We start from the raw sequence: 21375 nt of genomic DNA on the forward strand, positions 1-21375 counted from the left end.
AAAAAAACAACTAAACAACTGTTTCTGAAAAGGAGCATGAGTCCTTTGGACCATTATTAAGTAAAATAAGGATAAATATTTATTAAAGAAGGTAAGATTTCCCTTCAAAATTCTTGTGATTTCCCATTTGATGGTACCAGAATTTCATGTAGTATTCCCATTTTCCAAGACACTTAAAGCACCAGAATTCTGCTCAGCCATGAGGACCAAGTAGTAAAATGGCTGGTCACCCAGATGCCATTGGTCAACCTCCTGCTCTAGTCCCTACTCGAGCCTTTCAGTTCACCTTGTAAGTGGGTTAGAGTGGAACACACAAATATTTCATGTATGATAGACCCGCACTTATTCATGGTTTTGCTTTCTGTGGTTTCAGTTACCCACAGTCAACTATGGTCAGAAAATATTAAATGAAAAATTCCAGAAATAAATAATTCATGAATTGTAAATTGTGTACCATTCTAAGAAGCATGATGACATCTTGGGCTGTCCTCCTCCACCACACCCAGGACATGAATCTTTCCTTCTCCCAGCATCTCCATGCTGTCTACGCTACCCACCTGTGAGTCACTTAAAAGCTGTCTCGGTTATCAGATCAACTGTCGTGGTATCACAGTGCTGTGTTCAAGTAATCCTTATTTTACTTAATAATGGCCCAAAGCACAAGAGTAGTAATGCTGGAAATTCAGATATGCCAAAGAGAAGCTATAAAGCACTTCCCTTAAGTGAGAAAATGAAAGTTCTTGACTTGAGGAGGAAAGAAAGAAAATCGCACACTGAGGTTGCTAAGATCTATAGTAAGAACAAGTCTTCTATCTGTGGAATTGTGAAGAAGGAAATAGAAATTTGTACTAGTTTTGCTGTCACACCTCGAACCTGAAAAAGTTACAGTCACAGTGCATGAAAAGTGCTTAGTTAAGATGGAAAAGGTGTAAAATTTGTGGGTGGAAGTCACGAACAGAAAGGCGTTCCACCTGATGGCTGTCTGGTTCAGTACTATCCAGGGCTTCAGGCATCCACTGAGGGTCTTTGAATATATTTTTTATGGGCAAGGGGAGACTGCTAAAATACCTCCAAAATCTGGAGAGACCGCCTCTTAGTGGTATGGAATGCAAACATACTCTGTTTTGTCAGGTGCAATCCCCATAATGTTGCTAAGGTAGTTGTGCCCTATATTTTCATGGAATTTATGGTACAACCTCTGGCTTGTACATGTCTTGTTGATGCATCTAGATCTGCTACTTTCACTGCAGCAAAACACTACAAACTTACTGAACCAGCATGATGTTGTGTGGGATAGAGAGAAGATCAGTGTCTCTGGCCCACATTGTGGCCCACAGTTAGAGGTAAAGTAATAACTTCTGACAAATCTGCAATCCTTTCCAGGTGAAAGCAAATGAATTCTAGTGTTCTTTGTTTAATGAGACTAACGAAAAGTATTTTTTTACTTCATACTGTATACCAGGTGCCAGGGAGGCACTAATTTGCTTTAGTAAGGAAATCACATCTGAAACAGCAACTAAAATGAAAGTCACTATTTGATTAATCAAACAGTAATATATTATGCTCCAAGACCCCTTAGCAAGTCACAGTGGAACATGAAACCAGAATGTTATAAAAATCACTATGCCCTTGCATTTTCAAGTCTCTAATTATGCAAGATCGCTTTTGTAATACTATTTTGTTAAAGAGGTAAAGAGGGAGAAATCCAGGGACATTCACTTGGTCTTGGTCTTCCCTTCACAGATCTGGGAGCTGGTGTGCATGGTTTCTGTCCGTTGTCAATGTTACCTATTTTAACATGATATGTTTAGACTGGGGAAAACACAATGGGATAGGTCTAAGATTCCACTGGGTATAACAAGGCAGACTTGGGTCAAAACTCAATTTACATTCTCACCTGACTTAATGCTTTTTATCACCCTTTGATAGCTTCTTATTTTCCTTCAGCATCTAATTGTCAGAGTATGCAGTCTATGAGGGTTTTGGTTGGTGTTCATCTCTCCCTCTTCTCTTTTCTTTTCTTTTCTTTTTCGAGACAGAGTCTCATTCTGTTGTCCAGGCTGGAGTGCAGTGGCGTGATCTTGGCTTACTGCAACCTCCGCCTCCTGGGTTCAAGCAATTCTCGTGCCTCAGCCTCCTTAGTAGCTGGGACTATAGGCGCATGCCACCACACCTGGCTAATTTTTGTATTTTTAGTAGATACAGAGTTTCACCATGTTGACCAGGCTGGTCTCAAATTCTTGACCTCAGGTGATGGGCCTGCCTCAGCCTCCCAAAGTGCTGGGATTACAGTGGTAAGCCACCGCGCCTGGCCCCCTCTTCTCTTTTCCATGTATACTTTCTCATTAGGTTATCTTACCCAATCCATGACTCTCAATAACATATATATATCTCACATATACACACATATATATGTATGTATGTGTATATGCACTTACATGCCTGAACTTCTCCTTGAGCTCATATATTCTCCTGGCTACTAATCATCTCCATTTGGATGTTAACAAACATCTTAAACTAATAAAAGAGAACACTTCATTTTTGTTCTCCACTCAGCAAACCTGTTCTTTCCCAAGCAAGACTTCTACCATCTACCTAGTTTCTCAGACTAGAAATCTTGATTTTTATCCTTTATTCCACTCCTGTGTTGACATTTAATTCATCCATAAGTTCTATAAAAAAAGTAGAACATAAGTTCTACCTACAAAGTGTACCCCAAATTACCCCAAATTTGATTACATTCCACAATCACCACTCCCATGACACTTGTCTCTACCACTATCATCTCTTCTTTGACTAATGTAATAGGCTCATAAAGTTTTCAGTTTCCACCAATTTTTGCATTACTCTACCCAGAATCAAAGGTAATTTTTCTAAACATAAATCAAATCATGTCACTCCTGTGCATAAAATTCTCAAATGGCTTTTTACTTCAACCAGAATGAAATCCAAACTCTTTATTGTAGCCTATAAGATTCTCCTGGCTCCTGACTGATTCTGATATCAATTATTTCTGTTTTCCACCATCTTCAATATACTGCAATCTACACTGGCCTTATTTTTTCTCCCTGAAGACTATGACGTGTTTGTTTCATCTCAGGATCCTGTTTTCTTTGTTTGGAACTCTCTTCCATGACTGTCTCTTCTTCTTCATAATTCGGGCCACTGGATTCGGGACTCAACAGCTGCCTTTAAGTCACTTTTCACTATCTTCCTTCTTTTGTCCTTTTTAGGGCATCTATTAGTCCTGAAAATAATTTTTTTTGTTTATTTATTACCTCTCTCCCCTACTATAAGCTTCACAAGTACTCCATCTTGCTCACCAGTATATTTTCTGCATTTAGAACAATGCTTATCAGACAGTAGTTGGTCAATAAATATTCATCAGCTGAATTATTGACCCTCTACAATTCTTCCTTTTGCTTGGTGGACTGAAGTATTACTTGGAGCACCAGAAATTAGTGTTAGCTCAACCAAAGGTCTAATGACCAATAGAATAGTTGGGTATTTCCATTGCTTCATTGCGCGGTTACTCTAATTTAAAGTCTTGTGCTTCCTTGAGGAAAGCGAGAAGGATATTTTATTGTCTCTACTTGTGATTGTATTGCAGGGTCTTCAAGGATTCTGCCTTTTCCCTTCACTTAAAGGTTTCCAGAATGAGCACAGTTCTGGGAATAGGATGAGGAGCTTTTACATCTCTCAATGTGGTTCAACAGGCCTCTCTCCATGAATCCTAAAGTTCTGTTTTTTACTTAACAGAAATAGAATTTCTAATATAAAAGAGGACTTAAAGGACTCTCTCTCTCTTTCTCCTCTCCCACCTCAGTCTTAGGATCCATCCTCAATTAACAACTGTCACACATCCCAGGCAGGACCTATAGCCTATCATGCTCACCCTCCCCTCTTCACCTCTGACCTTTATCCACTGCTGGTTAGTCTCTTCCACTCTAGAATCCTTCTAGCCACACTGAAATGAGGGATCGTATTTTCACTTCAGGGCTCACAGAAGAGGGACACTGATATGTTTTTCAAAGATGATGGTACCATTTCAAAAGCATGTTTCTCAAGTCCTTAATGAATGAAGACCTTCTAAACCCTCACAGAGGAGAAGAAAAGAATAAGACAAATTACAAGAATAAATTTACTCCAGCATTTCTAACTCTGAAGAATTTGAACTCCCCACTTTTTATTTTACCAATATATATCCCTCTCAACTTCATTTAACATAGTCCCCTGTTGAATCTAATTGAAAAAGCAATTAAGTCACCACCAGTGCTTAAATTAGCTCACTACAGAAAGCACAGTCTTACCTCTCACTAAGCTCATACAGTGGTGAGTGCTTACCCAAGTAGAAAGGGAGATTCAGATTCTAGGCATGTACAAAATGACAAATATAAACTATGCAGTTTTTGGATTTTATGTGAGTTGCAATGAAAAGCTAACGGTATATTTTAAACAGGGGTGGGGAGAAAATACATACTATGTGGAATATGGATTATTGAGGGAAAAGGGTAAAAGCAGAAGCTAGTTGTGGGGCAAATGGCAGCTGTCCAGGTGAGAAAGGATGGTGGCTTGTCTAGGTGAGAAATGATGGTGGCTTGGTCTAAGAAGATAGACAATGAGGTGGTGGAAAGAGGTAAGACTAGAAATATATTTTGGTCATAGAGCTGCCTGGACTTGTTCTTTGAAGAAAGGCAAGTAATAAAGAGAGAAAGATCAAGAACGATGCCTCGATTTTTGGCATAGTGCCAGTAATCAAGGCGGCAGACACTTGTGCATTATGGGAAGTGAAAACAGCATTCCAACTCTGCCTGGAAGCTTCCAATCACCTCATGTCTCTCAACAGACACATGTATACAACTAACAAAACATGGTCAATTCCAAGTAGTGACTGAGGTCATCATAGATACAAGAGAAGAGTTTTCTGTTAGAGTGGGGAAGGGCTTCACAGAAGAGCTGGAACCAGGAGCGGAAAGAGCAGGACTTCAACTAGGAAGGAAGACGAGTAGGTCTCCAGACTCAGGGAGGAGGTGACCTATACAGGGCCAGTGCACCCAGCTGTGCACTGCGCAACTCCATGGGGTGCCATTCCCATGAGCTGTGTGTGAGTTCAGGCCTGGAAAATGCCAGGCACAGTGTTGGGATGGTAAATAAACCAGAGTCGTCAAATCAAAAATAGAGTTAAAGAAGTTAGGCGGAGTTAGAAAGATAAATAATTCCAGAATACAACCATTACAGCATTCATTTTTAGGCATATTTGAATGATCCTTACTCCACAGAATCCAACAAGCATGGGAAAGAGCAGGCATTCTAAGTTTCCCAACTGCCCTGTTAACTAATTATCAAATATTAGCTCATCCAAGCTCCAGTGGCAGAGGAGCCATAACATTTTTTATGAGAAGCTTTTCTTTCATCCGTTAAGGTGAGACAGATGAATCCTCTAGTTCTCGTTCCAAGAAAGCACTTTAACTGCTGAGACTAGACTTGGTTTCATCAATAAATGAGCTGTTAAAATTGATTTATCCTCATTGACAGGCACTTCATTCACAAATATACTCTGCCACATGGAGACCATTTTAGCCCACAATCTGGGTTGTTCCAAACGGAGCTCTTTCATTGCAAGCATGCCTTTCAGAACGCTTATTGGTGGTGTCACTGTGTAAAATCCTATTTTTCCACATATTCACAGCACCTCCAACTTGAATGTCAGTCAGGATTTCAGGCTTTTTTCATCTTTAGAAACAATACTTTTGTATATAGAAAGCATTTTATTCCTGTCTCGCCCCCCAGTGAACTATTTGGGAAGGATAAATACTACTTAAGGAACGATGGCTTGTGATTGCCTTCTCTGAGTCTCACAGTAAAATTATTCCACGTGGTACATGGGGAAGGGAATGATTGCTATATCGCTGCCATTTTCAGAGAAATTAAAACAACAACAACAACAACAACAAAACTCAACCAGAATATCATTGGTCATATTTTTGGAAATCAGGAAATTGTACAAAAACATTGCTTTAGGAAAACATGTTGTGTGGCAAATTATATCTTCCTTGTTTGACAGACAAGCGATAATAAATTAACAAGCTAGCACGGGGCTGGGAGACCTCTAGAGTGGGAGATGCCTTGTGGACAATGCTTCTATGTCTCCATTTTTTCCTATTTATTTTGTTTCATTCAGAGATTCAAAGAGGGAACAGGTAACAACGCACACAGAGGTAAGCACATTTAAAAAGATATCTGGAATCAATGCATTGTGAAATAAATATAATTGTGCATAGTGTTCTGAAACTCCCTGACAAGAATGACTTAAATTACTCAGTCAAGACCGTTAAAGCTTTTTCATGAGGGCAGGACTCCGGACTCTGCAAACTCCCTCCTGCCATAGCAAACAGTTCGAGCTGATGGTTCCCCCTGACAGTCAGAGGTGGTCACTCCCTTTGCTCTACTTCCACACGCAGAAAGCATTCCCTATTTGTCTGTGGCGAGTTCCATATGTTTCTTGTGGCATCTGCTAGCATTTCCGCTTAAAATAAAAAAGATTGTTTTAATTTCCAACCATATCTGTTCCCATTTGGGGATGTAAGCCATTTTGCAATGCTTTGTCCTTGAAGATTGTGATTTGTTTTGGTTCCCTGTGCAATATCTTGTGTTTTTCTTTAATGCCTTTTTTGAAGAAATATTTGAAAACAATCAGGGGAGGAGGAGCAGCTGCAGCTCAAACACTGCGGTAGATGTTAGACAATGCAAGTCGCTTTTATTCTTCACGTTTTGCTTTTTGTCAAACTTTGCAATAAGGAAGGAAGGGCAGCTTTTGTTCCTTAGACAATCAGAAGGAAAGAAAAAATTGATTATTCCTTGCAGATTATGGGTGGTCAGCAATTATGTAAAAATGGGACAAACATTCAGAAGGGCCCAACTACTCTATCAGCGCAGCTGCACAATGACAACCATATGCTCTGGCCTGAGGGGTTAACTATTGCATTGAAACTGATTAGAGTAGTTTATCTTCCTGGGAAACAACTCCATTTAGACTGATCAAGACCAGCATTAGGTGAACACCGATGGGTTAAGATTTTGCTTTACATCCCCCCAACTGCTTTTAGAACAATATCCTGGTTAAAACAACGATTCAATCAGACCTAAATTCACATAGTAACCTTAAGCAAGTGTCTTAATAGCATGAGCTCTAGGTGGCTGTAAGGAATCAGAGAAAGTTAGAAGGCCGGAAACTGTCCATGAAAGGTTTCCATCTCCCTGCTCCACCATGGTAGAGACACAGAATCCTTGGTACATTAGACTAATGGTTCTCAATGGATGCGGGAGATCAACAGTTATCTAGACAGGTTTTTCAGATACCTACCAGGCCCCTGTACTTGCTGTCTTCAATGCCGATATGTCTTTTTGTATGATGAAGCTAATATGTGTGTGTGTGTGTCCAGACCAGTTTTATTTTTTTCTCCAGAATTACAAAGTACATGGGTGGGCCCAAATAAAAAGCAGCTTCTGTTCTCATCGATTGATTAACTGACTCATCCATTCATTCCATGACATACCTTCAGACATTGTTTTAAGTATTGGGATATAGTGGTAGGCAAGATATATAAAGGCATTAAATAAATGATATGTACGTAGGTTTATCTTGAACCTAATCTAGGACATCAAGAAAGATGGCAACAATCTCTAAAATAATCAGTGTCATATGGAAATGGTAAAATGATGATCATGTTTATCGTTAATAATAACACCTTACGCTTGTGTACAATTTAATGTTTATAAGATTTCAATTGTTTTGAACTATGATCATGGTGGAGGCCACCTGCCTACATTATATGCGTGAGCATATAATGACTCCCATGGCTAATTCTTATATGTGTATATGTGTGATATTCCTGTGGAAATTACCAATCTCATGAAGGCAGGTACTGTGTCTTTCATTTTTTCATCTTTCCTAGTGATATGCTCCATTCAAAGCAAGTACTAAAATACTGCCCCTGGATATCGTTTGGATATTTGTTCCCTCCAAATCGTATGTTGAAATTTGACCCCTAGTGTTGGAAGTGGGGCCTGGTGGGAGGTGTTTGTGTCATGGGGGTGGGTCACTCATGAATGGCTTGTTGCCATCTCTGCTTTATGAGTTCCCATGAGAACTGATTGTTAAAAAGGGCCTGGCACCTCCTCCTTTTTCTTTTTCTCCTCTCTTGCTATGTGACGCCTGCTCCCCCTTCACCTTCCACCATGATTAGAAGATCCCTGAGGCCCTCACCAGTAGCAGATGCTGGCACCATGCTTCTTGTACTGCCTGCAGAACTATGAGCCTAATAAACCTCTTTTCTTTATAAGTTACCCAGCCTGAGATATTCTTTTATAGCAAGCTTATCTAACCCACAGCCCACAGGCCACAGGCAACCCAGAATGGCTTTGAATATGGCCCAACACAAATTTGTAAATTTTCTTAAAGCATTATGATTTTTTTTTGTGATTTTTTTTTTTTTTTTAGCTCATCAGCTATCATTAATTTTAGTATATTTTATGTGTGGCCCAAGACAATTCTTCTTCCAATGTAGCCCAGGGAAGCCAAAAGATTGAACACCCCTGTTTTATAGCAACACAAAACAGACTAAGACATCCACCATTTATATAGGCCTTAATAGTTTTCAGATACTTTTTACAGATTATCTATTTTTATTTTTATACCTTGTTTGTGGATTTTTAATTTTTTTCTTCTTTTTTATTTTTTCTTTTCACTTTTTTGTTTATGAATTTTAAAGATGAGAAATGAGAAGTCCAAAGAAGACACATTATTTATTTACTCAGGATCACATAATTAGCTAGGAAAAAGCCCTATCTCTTTTTTATTTTTATTTATTTATTTTTGGTCTAATGTTTATTTTCATTGTTGTACATGTATGTCAGATTTTTCAGGCATATGATATGTCAGATATATATCAAATATCTATTTATATACTGTGAGGAATAAACTCATTTTGGGGAATTAGGCATGAAAACAGAGAAAATGAGTTGGCTTGATGCACATATCAAGCTGCTTCTCATTGGGCAACCAAGATGGTTGACAATTACGGGAGACGAGGCAGAGATCTGACTGCACAAGAGCTGTAAACACAATGCACTCAGGGCATCCTTCGAATAAGTCATAGGCACATGGAATTTAAATGGGGGGCAAGTTCTACCATCAAAGAATGCATTTCAGGGTGTGGCAGCAAACAGTGCTGTGGAAAATGATAACAGAGCCCAAGTGAAGAAGCTACCCCAGCCTGCCATCCAGCCATGTTCCTTATGCCTTCTCTGGCTTTTCCAAAAATGAAATGTCAATACCACTCTAGGGTTTTCATCTTAATTCATGCTAGAAGCCCTCAAGGCTTGTCATAGAATATGTCAGTATATTTCCAGAACATACAGTCTGGGTCTGATTATCAAGCAAGTGGTGTAAAAACAGTTTAAGCTTCCACCAACCCAATAATTCGCAATGGAAGATAGAACAACTGATTATGTTTCTACCGTTTCTGAACAACCCAAAGTTCCAACTAGACTCAGCCTTATTTGTTAGCAAATGCACACATAGAAAATCACTCTGGGATTCAAGTCTTGCTTTTCTACAATTTGACAGCAAGCATCAAACAGCAGCAATGTCAGCCATGGGACATAACTTTTATGCCAATTTCAGCTATGCCCTATAAAGTTTTCTTTTTCTCTCAAATCCATAAGGTCACAAAGACCTTCTCAACTTCAATCACATAACTTAAATGTACAAATTAAAATTCCATTTCCTACATCCCTTCCATTCATAAGAAGCAATTAAAGTAGAGTATCTAATGTACTCTATGATCCTGGCAAGGGCATTACTCTTCATATGCCTCAATGGGCTATGCCAAAATATCTCTTTCATTTATTAAAGCCATTTGTGATTGCCACTGACTTTGAGCTGAATGGCATCCCAAGGCCAAATTTGTTTATTCATCCACTTGTTTTTAAAAATAAAAACCACTACAGGAGCCATTGATTGATTAACCTGTAGCAGTTCCTTACATTAAGCATCTTTGTCTGTGTGTCAAAATAAACTATATAGTAAGCCTCTGTAGAATACACAAAGCTGTGCCAGCAGTCACAGGGTAATGATTCTATGGTTTCAGCCTTCTGTTCAGATACCCAGAGTTTGACTGCCTATGGCCATGCAGCCTCAGAAATCATTGGATACTATCAAGCTGGGCTGCCTTGGAAGGAATAGGAACCCACCTGCCCATCCTCCCTGAGCTGCTTGTCTTTGCAGGCTAGGACACAGAGGAGGCATCTATAATGAGATGCAGGCCCAGGGAAGGAGATTTATGGTTTTACTGTGCTGGAGGCAAGAAAATATATACTGATTTTTCTATTTTGCAGGTCCTTTCTCTCTCTCTCGCTCTCTCTCACGCGCACACACACACACACACACACACACACACACATTTGGCAGGCCCTTTCACATATATGTGTGTGTGTGTGTGTGTGTGTATGTATGTGTATATATATATATATATATATATATATATATATATAAAATATATGATATAATTTTTTTAGACAGGGTCTCTCTTCATTGCCTGGGCTGGAGTGCCATGGCATGATCTCGGCTCACTGCAACTTCTACATCCCAAGTTCAAGTGATTTTTGTGCCTCAGCCTCCAACATAGCTGGGACTACAGAAGCGTGCTACCACTCACGACTAATTTTTGTATTTTTAGTAGAGACGGGGTTTCACCATGTTGGCCAGGCTGGTCTCGAAATCCTGACCTCATGGGATCCATCTGCCTTGGCCTCCCAAAGTGCTGGGATTACAGATGTGAGCCACCGTGCCTGGCCCCTTTTACATATATTATCATACTTATTTCCCATAACAATGTTATGGGAAATATGTATTATTATTATTACACATATGTGTAATATTATATTATTACACATATGTGTAAAATATGTATTATCATTATTCCACTTTGCTGATAAAGAAACCAAGTCTCAGAAAGTAACTTGGCCAAAGTCATGAGGCTAGTAAGCTGTAAAGTTGAAAAGACTGAAACCCAAGTCTAGCTTACTCCAGTCTCTTTCTACTCTAACAAGTTTCATGTAAATGCAATAGAATTCCTGAGTCATAGAAAGCATTTATATACATAGTACAAGAGCAACATCACACCTCTAAAGATAGCACCTGCAAGCACAATGCAAAATGTCAATAAAGTGGAGACGTGTGTGGTCTTCCAATGTTGTCTTGGATTGTTAGAGGGAAAAAAATCATGTCATTGTATATTTCCTTAAGCTCCAAATGTCAGGAGATAATAAAAAACACTGTATTTGAGAGATGTGGTCACTTAGAGTCCTGTACTTTACAGTGAGTCTCCAAAAGCTTGCCTAAAGTGGAGCCCACTTGATAACTCAAGCAGAAACTGCCCAGCTTCTGAGAACCTTCAAAATGGGTCTAATGATAATTTTTTGAAAGTATTTTTTTATTAAAATATCCTTAAAATATTATTCATATAGGTTGGGTGAAGGGCTCACACTTGTAATCCTAGCACTTTGGGAAGCCAAGGCAGAAGCATTGCTTAAGGCCAGGAGATCAAGACCTGCCTGGGAAACATGTGAGACCCTGTCTCTACAAAAAAAAAAAAAAAAAAAAAAATTGTTTAAAATTAACTGGGCGTGGTGACATGTGTCTGTGGTCATAACTACTTGGAAGGCAGGGACAGGAGGATTGTTTGAGCTCGGGAGTTGAGGTTGCAGTGAGTGAGCTATGATTTTGCCACTGTATTCCAGCCTGGGTGATAGACTGAGAACTTGTCTCTAAAAATAAAAATTAAAAAATATTCATTATATAGGAAATCTACTAGATTTTATGTCTTAAGAAAAGTGATCATATCTAATTTACCTTTAAATTTTCAATGTATCTTGGTGTATAGTGGGTGTTTATTAAGTTGAGAGAAGGAATATTAGCCAAGAGAAACTTACCTTTGGAGAACTGATGTGGTATCAGCTGGCTCGACTACAGCCTCTACTGGAGGCCCACCAGCTAGGTAAATTAAGCACAAAATCACATAGCCCCACTCCACCGTGGAAGAGGTTAACATTGTCCTGGAGAGAGACATGTTTTTTAAAATGCACACTACATACCAAATACTCAGATATCAAAAAAGTGTAACTGAGCTCATTATACTTGAGGTATCTTCTTGGCTCACAATGATTCCTCCTTCTCAGGGAAATGATCAGGAAATGCCCAGATCTTTTCTTTGGAGAAAGCAGGTGTGTCCCTATAATACACCTTGTCCCCTTGGCTGGAAATAATTCATGCAAGATTGAGCAGTTGGGCAACCAAAGCTAAACTGAGTCGATCAGATTCTTCTCTGTGGGAAATCAGAATTTTCAATCAAGTTTCTCATGGGGAGGGGCTCTTGCAGCTGAATAATATTAGTAGCTATGCTCTAGAAAGACTTATGTTGTCTTGTTGCTGAAGTCACTGGAGCTGCCCTTTTTCTTCCCTCTGAAATTTTATTTGTTCAATTCTTTTTGGATCTTATGATATATCCCACTGTCCTTCCAATAAATTCCAGTTCTTGCTTGAGTTACTCAGAGTGGGTTTCCATTACTTGTAGCCAAACAAAACTTAAATGATTCAGAAGTGCAGATGGATGGCTCTAGGAATTGATGTAGCGAGAACTAAGCAAGTTGAATTGAGAAAGAAGACAAATGCGTGAAGCTGAGAATAGGAAAGAAGAAACATTTTTAAAGTACAACAGAGTAGGAAAAGCATCCCAAAGTGGTGGAATGACCCAAGTAAAATGTAGAAAATTGGGACTCAGTGGGTCCATCAAGAATGGGGAGCAAAGCTCCCTGGCTGGAGAAACATAGGATCCATGCCAACACTCAGGAGAAGTTTCAATGATGGAGGAGGCTGGCCAGATGTTCAGGTTAAATTTAAGGGTGTCGTTTCAGAGTTTTGGGGTTTCTTTTTTGGCCTGGGGCTTTATGAAGTAACATTCCATTTCTATAGGTGGAGACCACAGTAACTTTGTGCTGCAGTTTCACATCTCAGAACATGGCTGATTTTGCTGTATGAAAGGGTATTTAATGTAGAAAGTCTTGAGTAGAACTTTAAGTTCAACAGACGTTTAGGGATGAGCGGCCCCGGTGGTTGTCACTGGGCACCTGAACCCCACCTGCAGCACAGTATGGCCTGGTGCTCTGACAAGGTCTTCCACGGCATAGCTCTGAATCTCCAGATCCTCTTTGATGGGTGAGATGAGCCAAGGACTGGGTGGGGCTGTCATGGTCAAACTCAACACCTTCCTCAACAGGAGAAGAAGACTTAAGCCACACGCAAGCAAACTTCTAAGAAATTACTTGATTTTTAGTTTTCTTCTGAAAGATGCAGACCAAGCATTTTGTTTGCCCTGGGTGACAGATGTGTCCAGCCCATCTCGGTGTCAGGACGAGGGTGTGACATCATGGTTACAGGAACCATGACTTCCAAGCCCATCAGGGATCTCATTTCTTCAGATCATCATCCGTCCACTGCTGCAGCTTCTGGGTTCAGCCTTAGTGCCATCAGCTGGGAAGGGAGTAACAGGATTTTGTTAATTGTACTGTTAAACTTAGTGGAAGCAAAGTTAGATATATTTCTCATAAGAAAGTCTTAGTTCCAAGACCCAATTTTCACAAACCAAGTTAGTAAATATCACAAACCCCACAAATTAGAATCCAACATAGTTCTTTTGCCATTTCTGATCACATCTTCTATTCAGTAAAGTCTTCCAAGGCATCCTTTGAACCCTCCCAGTAAACTTTCTTAACCTAAGGGGCTAGAGGTGAGAAGGTAATTTCAGTTGTGGTGGCTGCATTTGACTAGTTGGATTGTATGAAATTAAAAGTTGGGATTTTATGAAATTAAAAGTTGAGACTGATATAAAATATTGCTCACCACATTAAAAGCACTTAAATAAAAGGATAATGCATATTTTTAAGGTGATAAACAACTATTTTTTTCCAGTGGGTTTCTAGGAATGTAAGTTTCACCAAAGACTAAAATTTTGTTTTATAAATTTCAGGGCTAAATAAAACATATACCCCAAACTCCAGTCCAGGCTCCATTCTGGCCTGAAAGGACTTAACTAATAGCTTTTTAATTGCATAATTTTATATTTTTTCTTTTTGTTAGAGGCAGAAGTGGAGCACAGAAGCAGCCCCGGAAAGTCTACTCTCCTAATATTTGCAAAATTTCTGACAGTCTCCCAAGAGGGCATCAGATAAGTTCTATGAAATGTCCAGTGTACTGTGGGATACCTATCCTCACCCAAACCTTATTTTTTTTTAAAGGTTTATCTATTCCTAGTCTTGAGTTTCATGCTGGGTTTTTGCAATGACTGCAGAAATACAGCAATAATCTTTGCCTAAACCTCTGAAGAAAATATTAAGCATATAAAGCAGAATCATGAATAATAACAGCTCTTACACAACCAGTAGATCTTAATAACACATATTCCTCGTCACCTGCTTTCCAAAACCATTCCCATTTGGAGTTTGTCTTTTGATATTACTGCTTTGAGAACCAAAATTTCTCTGAGCTCCCCTTGTAAGATTAATTAAAATGGACATATCTTCGAAGCACAGATAAGACTAGAATTTCTTTAATATAAGTGTTTGTCATGGCAACATTTTCTATAATGTAACTGTGACACCTTGCTTTATTTCTTTAAATATTAAACAAACAAATAAGAGAAGCAAGCAGACTCTTAGAGAAGAAAAGAAATGGTACCAGCTCCATTTTTTATGGCTAAGATATTAAGTGACCACTCTGTGGTGGTATAAAAATGGCACTAAATAGAAAAGACAATGGCCAGGCACAGTAGCTCATGCCTGTAATCCCAACACTGTGGGAGGCCAAGGTGGACGGATTGCTTGAGCCCAGGAGTTCAAGACCAGCCTGGGAAAATGGTGAAACCCCATCTCTACTAAGAATACAAAAAATTAGCCAGGCATGGTAGTGCACACCTGTAGTTCCAGCTACTCCAGAGGCTAAGGTGAGAGGATGGCTTGAGCCCAGGAGGCTGCAGTGACCTGAGTTCACACCACTGTACTCCAACCTGGGTGACAGAGTGAGACCCTGTCTTAAAAAAAAAAAAAAGACATGACAAGACTGGCATCAGTAAACCAGGTTCACCAGTAATAATCAACACAGAAAAAAGTACTTTCTGAAGACCATGATTGCCAAATCATTGTGGGCAAGACAAAGTTAACACTTCAAATACCTTACCTGGGGAGCAGGAACTGACACGGGCAATGTTAATTATGAAATACATGACAGATAATAAGTTATTTCTGAAGATGAAGTTGTTTCTTTAGATTAGAATATTTGGAAAAGGCTTAGAGAAGGAAAGAATGAGATATTCAAATTTAAATATTATATGGAAAGTCAAAGAGAAATAGAGAGATCATTCAAGAAAAATGCAAGACCCATTTATCAGAGAGTGAATAAACCATACAGACTCAACTGTTTACTTAACAATTTTGTGTGTATATATATATATATATTTTTTTCTTTTATTTTTACAGTGGAGCAACCATAGCTCACTGGAGCCTTGACCTTCCAGGCTCAAGGAACCCTCTCACCACAGCCTCCTGAATAGCTGAAACTGCAGGTACATGCCACCTCACCCGGCTAATTTTTAAAATTCTTTTGTAGAGACAAGGTCTCACTATGTTGCCCAAGCTGGCCTTGAACTCCTGGGCTCAAACGACCCTCCCACCTTGGGCTCCCGAAGTGCTGGGATTACAGGCATGAGCCATCACTCTCAGCCTTCAAGAATTATACAAATGCCAGCTTCCTTCCAGTAATGAGCTAAGTGAAAAAATGAGGGCAGTCCTAGGCCTCAGGTAGCTTTCAATCCAATGGCGGGAAACACACACACACAGAAAAAAACAATACAACAGAAAACAGAGGCATGGCTAGGGCATTAGAGAAGCACAGAGAAGGAGAAGAGTAAGTAGGATTATTTTAGGCAGAGAGGGCCACATTGAAAAGGTATAGAGGTGTTAGAGAGCATGGACCAGTCATGAACTCAAAGTAATGACATCTTCCTGGTGCATGGGGCAGATCGAGAGAAATGAGACAGCACCAATCACAAAGGCCTTGTACATCATGCTCAGGATATCAGACTTCACACAATAGGCTATGACGAAACACCAACAGATTTTAGAAAAGAAAGGGCTTGATCATACTTCATGTTATACAGATGGCACTGGCAGCAGAATGAAAGCCTCAGGGTGGCTGGTCATTCTAAAGGCAGGGAAACTAGCTAGGAGACCTGAAGAGCAGTCAGGTCTCTACAAGGGTATTGACACTGGGGTTGGAGAAGAAAGGAGAGACTCAAGAGATATTTAATTGGAATAAAAAATGGCCAGACTTTGATGACTTACCTGAGAGTATCTGTTGGAAGTTAGGGAAAGGTAGCATTCTAATATGACTGTGAAGTCTGTGGCTTGCAAGATATCACTAAACAAAATGTGGGAGTAAAGCATGGTGAACAACCAGTTTGAGGAGAAAGATCATGAGTTCAGGCTTAGAAACGCTAAGATGGGAGTGCCTGAGACGCCCCATTGGAGAAGTCTGGTGGAGTTGGAGCATGTAACTGGAACTCAGGGTGGCCTTCTCAGATGGAGACGGAGATTACAGAAATAGGCTCTGGGGCATTACACAGAGTTGTGATCATGGTTGAGATCATCCAGAAAATTGAAAGAGAGGATTGCTGAGGACAGGTCTTATCAACATTCATCCTGGAATAGAGGATGCATTACATGAGAAACAAACTAAAAAGAAGCATTAGAGAAGTAGAGAGAAAACCAAGAGAGAACAATATCATGAAATCCAAGAGAAGAAAGCTTCTGAAATGACAGGGTGGTCAACAGCCTAAAACTCTTTGAAGAATCCAGGATCTAAAAGTGTGAGATCTTAGAAAGCACCTGGTCTCACTCCTCCAATGCATTTATTAGGAAATGAAGACCAAGAGACGGGAAGAGGGTGCCTGCCCACAATCACACTGTCAATGAGGAGGGAGCTGACTAGCAGGCAGATGCCCTGACGCCCTGCTGCGCAGCTTCGGCTTTATCCAGTTGCACTTTTGGTTTGATTGAACCCAGATTTCGCAGAGGGAAGTAGTGGGAGATAAGCCTTAGAAAGGTAGGTCAGGGCCAGGCAGCAAAATTGCTAAACTAGGGGGCTTAAATGTTATTCGGAGGAACGGGGTACTCACTAAAGAGCTTTGAGCAGGAAAGTTATTCTAATCACAGAGATATTTGGGGAAATTTTAGGTGGGAGTTTTCAGGGGTATTGTTAATATTTTGCTCAGATAAGTCACAAATTAAGCAATTATGTGAACCCCTCCCCCCAAATAATTGTGAGTTGTAGTGACTAAAACTCCTTAATTATATTATAAATTAATAACCAATAAATAAGAAAAAACTCAAAAATGAAGTCACCTATTGCTTAGGTTCATGAGATCATCTTAAAATGATCTAGAAATAAAATGAAAAGTCCTGTGAGATTTGGAACCACCCTAGGTATCATGTCCAGCTGTGGGGAGGGGGTTGGGGGTGGGTCTGAGTACACTGCAGCCTCAGGTATCCACGCTTTCATAACTCTATTAGGACCAATGATTAAGGCCATATGAGGACGTATTATTTTATGTGATTTCTCCTTCTTCCTCTTTTTCCCCTGTACATATACATTTGTTAAAAAGGAGAATAAAAAATGATCCCTATACCTTTGGAAGAATGCCTTGGGAGAGATGCCCATGCCAGGGACCAGCTTTCTCTGAGTTGCCAATCCTATTGCCAAAGGCCTTCCAACCAGAGTGACTCTATCTTGAGCAGGGGCTAGGCAAAATGAGGCTGAGTCCTACTCAGGTGCATTCCGAGGAGGTCAGGCATTCTAAGTCACAGGAAGAGACAGAAGGTCAGCACAAGATACAGGTCACAAAGACCTTGCTGTAAAACAGGTTGCAATAAAGAAGTCCGTCAAAATCCACCAAAAACAAGGTAGCGATGAAAGTGACCTCTGGTAGTCCTCGTTGCTTATTATATGCTAATTATAATGTATTAGCTGCTAAAAGACACCCCCACCAGCACCATGACAGTTTACAAATGCCATGGCAACATCAGGAAGTTACCCTATACGGTCTAAAAGCTGGAGGACCCCTCAGTTTCAAGGAAATCCCCACCCGTTTCTCAGAAAACTCATGAATGATCCACCCCTTGTTTAGCATATAATCAAGAAATAACCATAAAAATAGGCAGCCGGCAGCCCTCGGGGCTGCTCTGCCTACGGAATAGCCATTCTTTTGTTTCTTTACTTTTCTAATAAACTTGCTTTCACTTTATTCTATAGACTCACCCTGAATTTTTTCTTGCACGAGATCCAAGAACCCTCTCTTGGGGTCTGGATCAGGATCCCTTTCCGGTACCACTGTGACCTGGCTGCACACGGTCCCCCTGAAGCCACAGGTTGAGCTATGTCAGGCCCCAAAGACACAGGGGCCCCAGCGCTTCATCCTCTCTCTTTCCCCTCAGAGCTTCAAAACTTTGAGGTTCTCAAACGCCTAGATAATGGTTTGCCTCATAGGTGACAGTACACTGGTAGGTAGAAATTGACCTGACCCTACTGAAACCCCAAAGTCCCATGAGCCCTGAAGTCTGATTCGGTGGTTCATTGCAAAGACTAACATCAAGCGAGGGAACACAGGAAAATGTCACAAACAGTGCTTGAAATTGATTTGAGGGTCAGAGCAACCTGAACTTCTGACCCTGACTTTTAACCTCCTCACATCTTGCTCTCCGTCTCTGCTGTTACGATGATAGTGCACACTCTGTGCAGAAAAGACGGCTCCACTTTACACGTACCCAGGCAGAATACTACAGTGGGCCTGTTGCCGGGCAACCACAGCTAGAACACTTTGTTTCCGGAGCATTTTGAGAATGATTACACTTGCGGGGTTGGGTTGGGTTGGTTGGGGTTTTTATTATTATTATTATTATTATTCTTTCTTTCTTTCCTGTGGTACCTATTCCTGGATGTTGTAAATATTCATCTGAGTTTTGCATAGATGAGGGGAAGACGTTATTTAAATGAGATTGGGAGGGTAATTTGCTCGGGTGCATCACTACCCTCTTTTATGTTTTGCAGGCACCCTGCTGCAGAAGGAGAGAAAGCGCTTTTGTGACCATTATTGACTTAGATGACAATGCTATGCTGGCTTGTTTCAGTTACATAGAACAATGGGAGCAGAAAAAAGACACTTTAGCGAAGGCATTTAGTAAATTGTTAGTAAATGGGGAAGATACAAAAGCCCCAGCTAAGTCATCAGGCACATTTCCTTGCTAACGTGGCTGCAGTTACTCTCCTGGCTCCCTCTAAACCCCACTCAGAGAGGAACGCTTCCTCTTCCTCTTGTTAAGTGACATCAACACATTGAAATACAGCTCTTGGCTAAACTCCGCGAGCTGACTTTGAAAGGTAACGGGAAGAAACATTTCCTTTCAAAAGGAATCTGGCAGCCTTTGAGCCTTTGAAACACACCCATTTCAGATGAGTCTGAGTTGGGCAGGAATTGCAAGTACTTCCAAAATCATCCGTGTCAATATTTCCCCCACCCCTGGAATATTAATATGTACACACACCCACACACTCCCCTTGAGATGTGTTTATTTCACAATTCACAAATGGTGAAGAGACCTTTTCTGAATTTTTTTCTTAGGGACTTGGGAAGCCAGCATGAAAATTGTGATTCTTCCAAATGCTTTCCCATATGCCTTAAATGCCCCCATTAAAGTTAATTTTCTCAGTCCACACGTGTTCTCTGTGTCTTGGTGACCACCTCCCTGCCTCCCTTAAGGTAACCTTTTCTTGAGGCTTGCTATGTCCTGTCTTGGTTATGACTTGGTCAGGAGCCTGGGCACCTTATGGCAGAATTCAGGGCCCCAGCCAAATACAGCAGTTGTTTACAGGGCACAGTCAGTGAGGGACTCGATCTCTTCACTCTCACGGAGATGTCTATGGATAGAAAATTCGCCTCTGGGCCATCGACAGTTTGAGCCCCAAAGCTGTTGGGCTTTTCAGTCCAGAGTGCATTTACGAAGCTCTCCCATCTAAAGGATCCCCATCCTGGTGATACAGAAGTGCTGGGGAGAGAAGAGCATGGTCCCTTTAAATGATACCGAAGTGGAAAGGGGAGTGCTGGGTAGAGGAGGGCGTGGTCCCCGGTTAGGGCTCCACCCCCAAGGGCCTAGATGAGGACAGGCAGTCCTGTCTTCTCGCCCAAATGTTGCAATTTCCAAGACTACCCTGGCCCGCCACACCCCCATCCTGGCCCTATACCCTAGCAGGCAGACACAAGTAGCTGGACATCGTGAGGAACACATCGCCGGAAGAAGACACAAGTGGCTGGACGTCGAGAAGGGCACGTTAGCAGAAGAGCACACGGACAGACACCGACAAGCCGGCAGGCCACTGACCAGCACAATGATGCAGAGTTTGGCCTGAGTGGTCGGAGAAGAGTCAGGCTGTGGAGCGGCCTAACTCCAAGGAAAAAGCCAGCTCCCTTCCGGCTTCCCCATCTGCAGAGGGCCACTTCCGCTCAATAAAACCTTTCGCTCCTTCTCCAAGCCCAGGTGTGATCCGATTCTTCTGGTATACCAAGGCAAGAACCCGCAATACAGAAAGCCTGCTGTCTTTGCGACAAGGTAGAGGGTGTAATTGAGCTGGTTAACACAAGCCTATAAATGGAAAACTAAAAGAGTAAAATTAAAAGAGCACTCTGTATGTAACACACGCCCACTGGGGCTTCAGGAGCTATAAATATTCACCCCAGAAGCTGTCGTGGGGTTGGAGCCCCACAACCTGCCCACCTTGTATGCTTCCCAAGAGGTTTGAGCAGCTAGGCACGGAAGAAGTGAGCTACTCCCCCTGTTGCACCCCCTGTGAGGGGGACAAGGGGACCTTTCCTGTTTCACTGGCCCTTCATCCAAGATCGCCTGGTGAATGGTATAAGGCTCTCCGGCACATGAGGCAGCCTGTGGCACAGGATTCAGTAAAACTCTTCCTGGCTCTACTCAGGAATATGAGTTAGATGTGCAGTTGCATTCTGCCGGGAAGACCACTTAACTATCCAGCTGGAAAACTGGGATAGAACGTTAGGGAGAAGGAGGAGAAAAGACATACTGGAGAAGGAAGTCAGAAGGAAACTTAGGATCTCTCATCTTTGGAGCTGGGACAAGCAACAGGTTACTCAAAAGTTTCAGTCTGAATACACCCTTCAAGATGGGCTGGAAGGCCCACACCTTCCA

At 41.1% G+C, this 21375-nt stretch overlaps 1 long non-coding RNA gene across 1 annotated transcript, besides 2 other annotated features; it reads right to left on the minus strand.

Annotated features, from left to right (window-relative positions):
- Positions 1 to 5957: 5957 nt before the first annotated feature.
- LINC00838 (long intergenic non-protein coding RNA 838) lies at positions 5958 to 18925 on the minus strand. Its single transcript, NR_038932.1, has 3 exons — positions 18428 to 18925; positions 11995 to 13591; positions 5958 to 6820 (listed from the first exon to the last, which is right to left on the minus strand). It is a non-coding gene; the product is annotated as a long intergenic non-protein coding RNA 838 (long non-coding RNA).
- Positions 18864 to 19587: an enhancer, noted in NCBI's record as "OCT4-NANOG-H3K27ac hESC enhancer chr10:34061547-34062270 (GRCh37/hg19 assembly coordinates)". NCBI's record gives its function as "activates a minimal SCP1, AML or CMV promoter by ChIP-STARR-seq in naive and primed H9 embryonic stem cells {active_cell/tissue: H9 hESC(naive and primed)}" and the evidence as "EXISTENCE:reporter gene assay evidence [ECO:0000049][PMID:30033119]".
- Positions 19588 to 20311: an enhancer, noted in NCBI's record as "OCT4-NANOG-H3K27ac-H3K4me1 hESC enhancer chr10:34062271-34062994 (GRCh37/hg19 assembly coordinates)". NCBI's record gives its function as "activates a minimal SCP1, AML or CMV promoter by ChIP-STARR-seq in naive H9 embryonic stem cells {active_cell/tissue: H9 hESC(naive)}" and the evidence as "EXISTENCE:reporter gene assay evidence [ECO:0000049][PMID:30033119]".

Source organism: Homo sapiens, chromosome 10 (assembly GCF_000001405.40).
Source record: "Homo sapiens chromosome 10, GRCh38.p14 Primary Assembly".
NCBI classification, from domain to species: domain Eukaryota; kingdom Metazoa; phylum Chordata; class Mammalia; order Primates; family Hominidae; genus Homo; species Homo sapiens.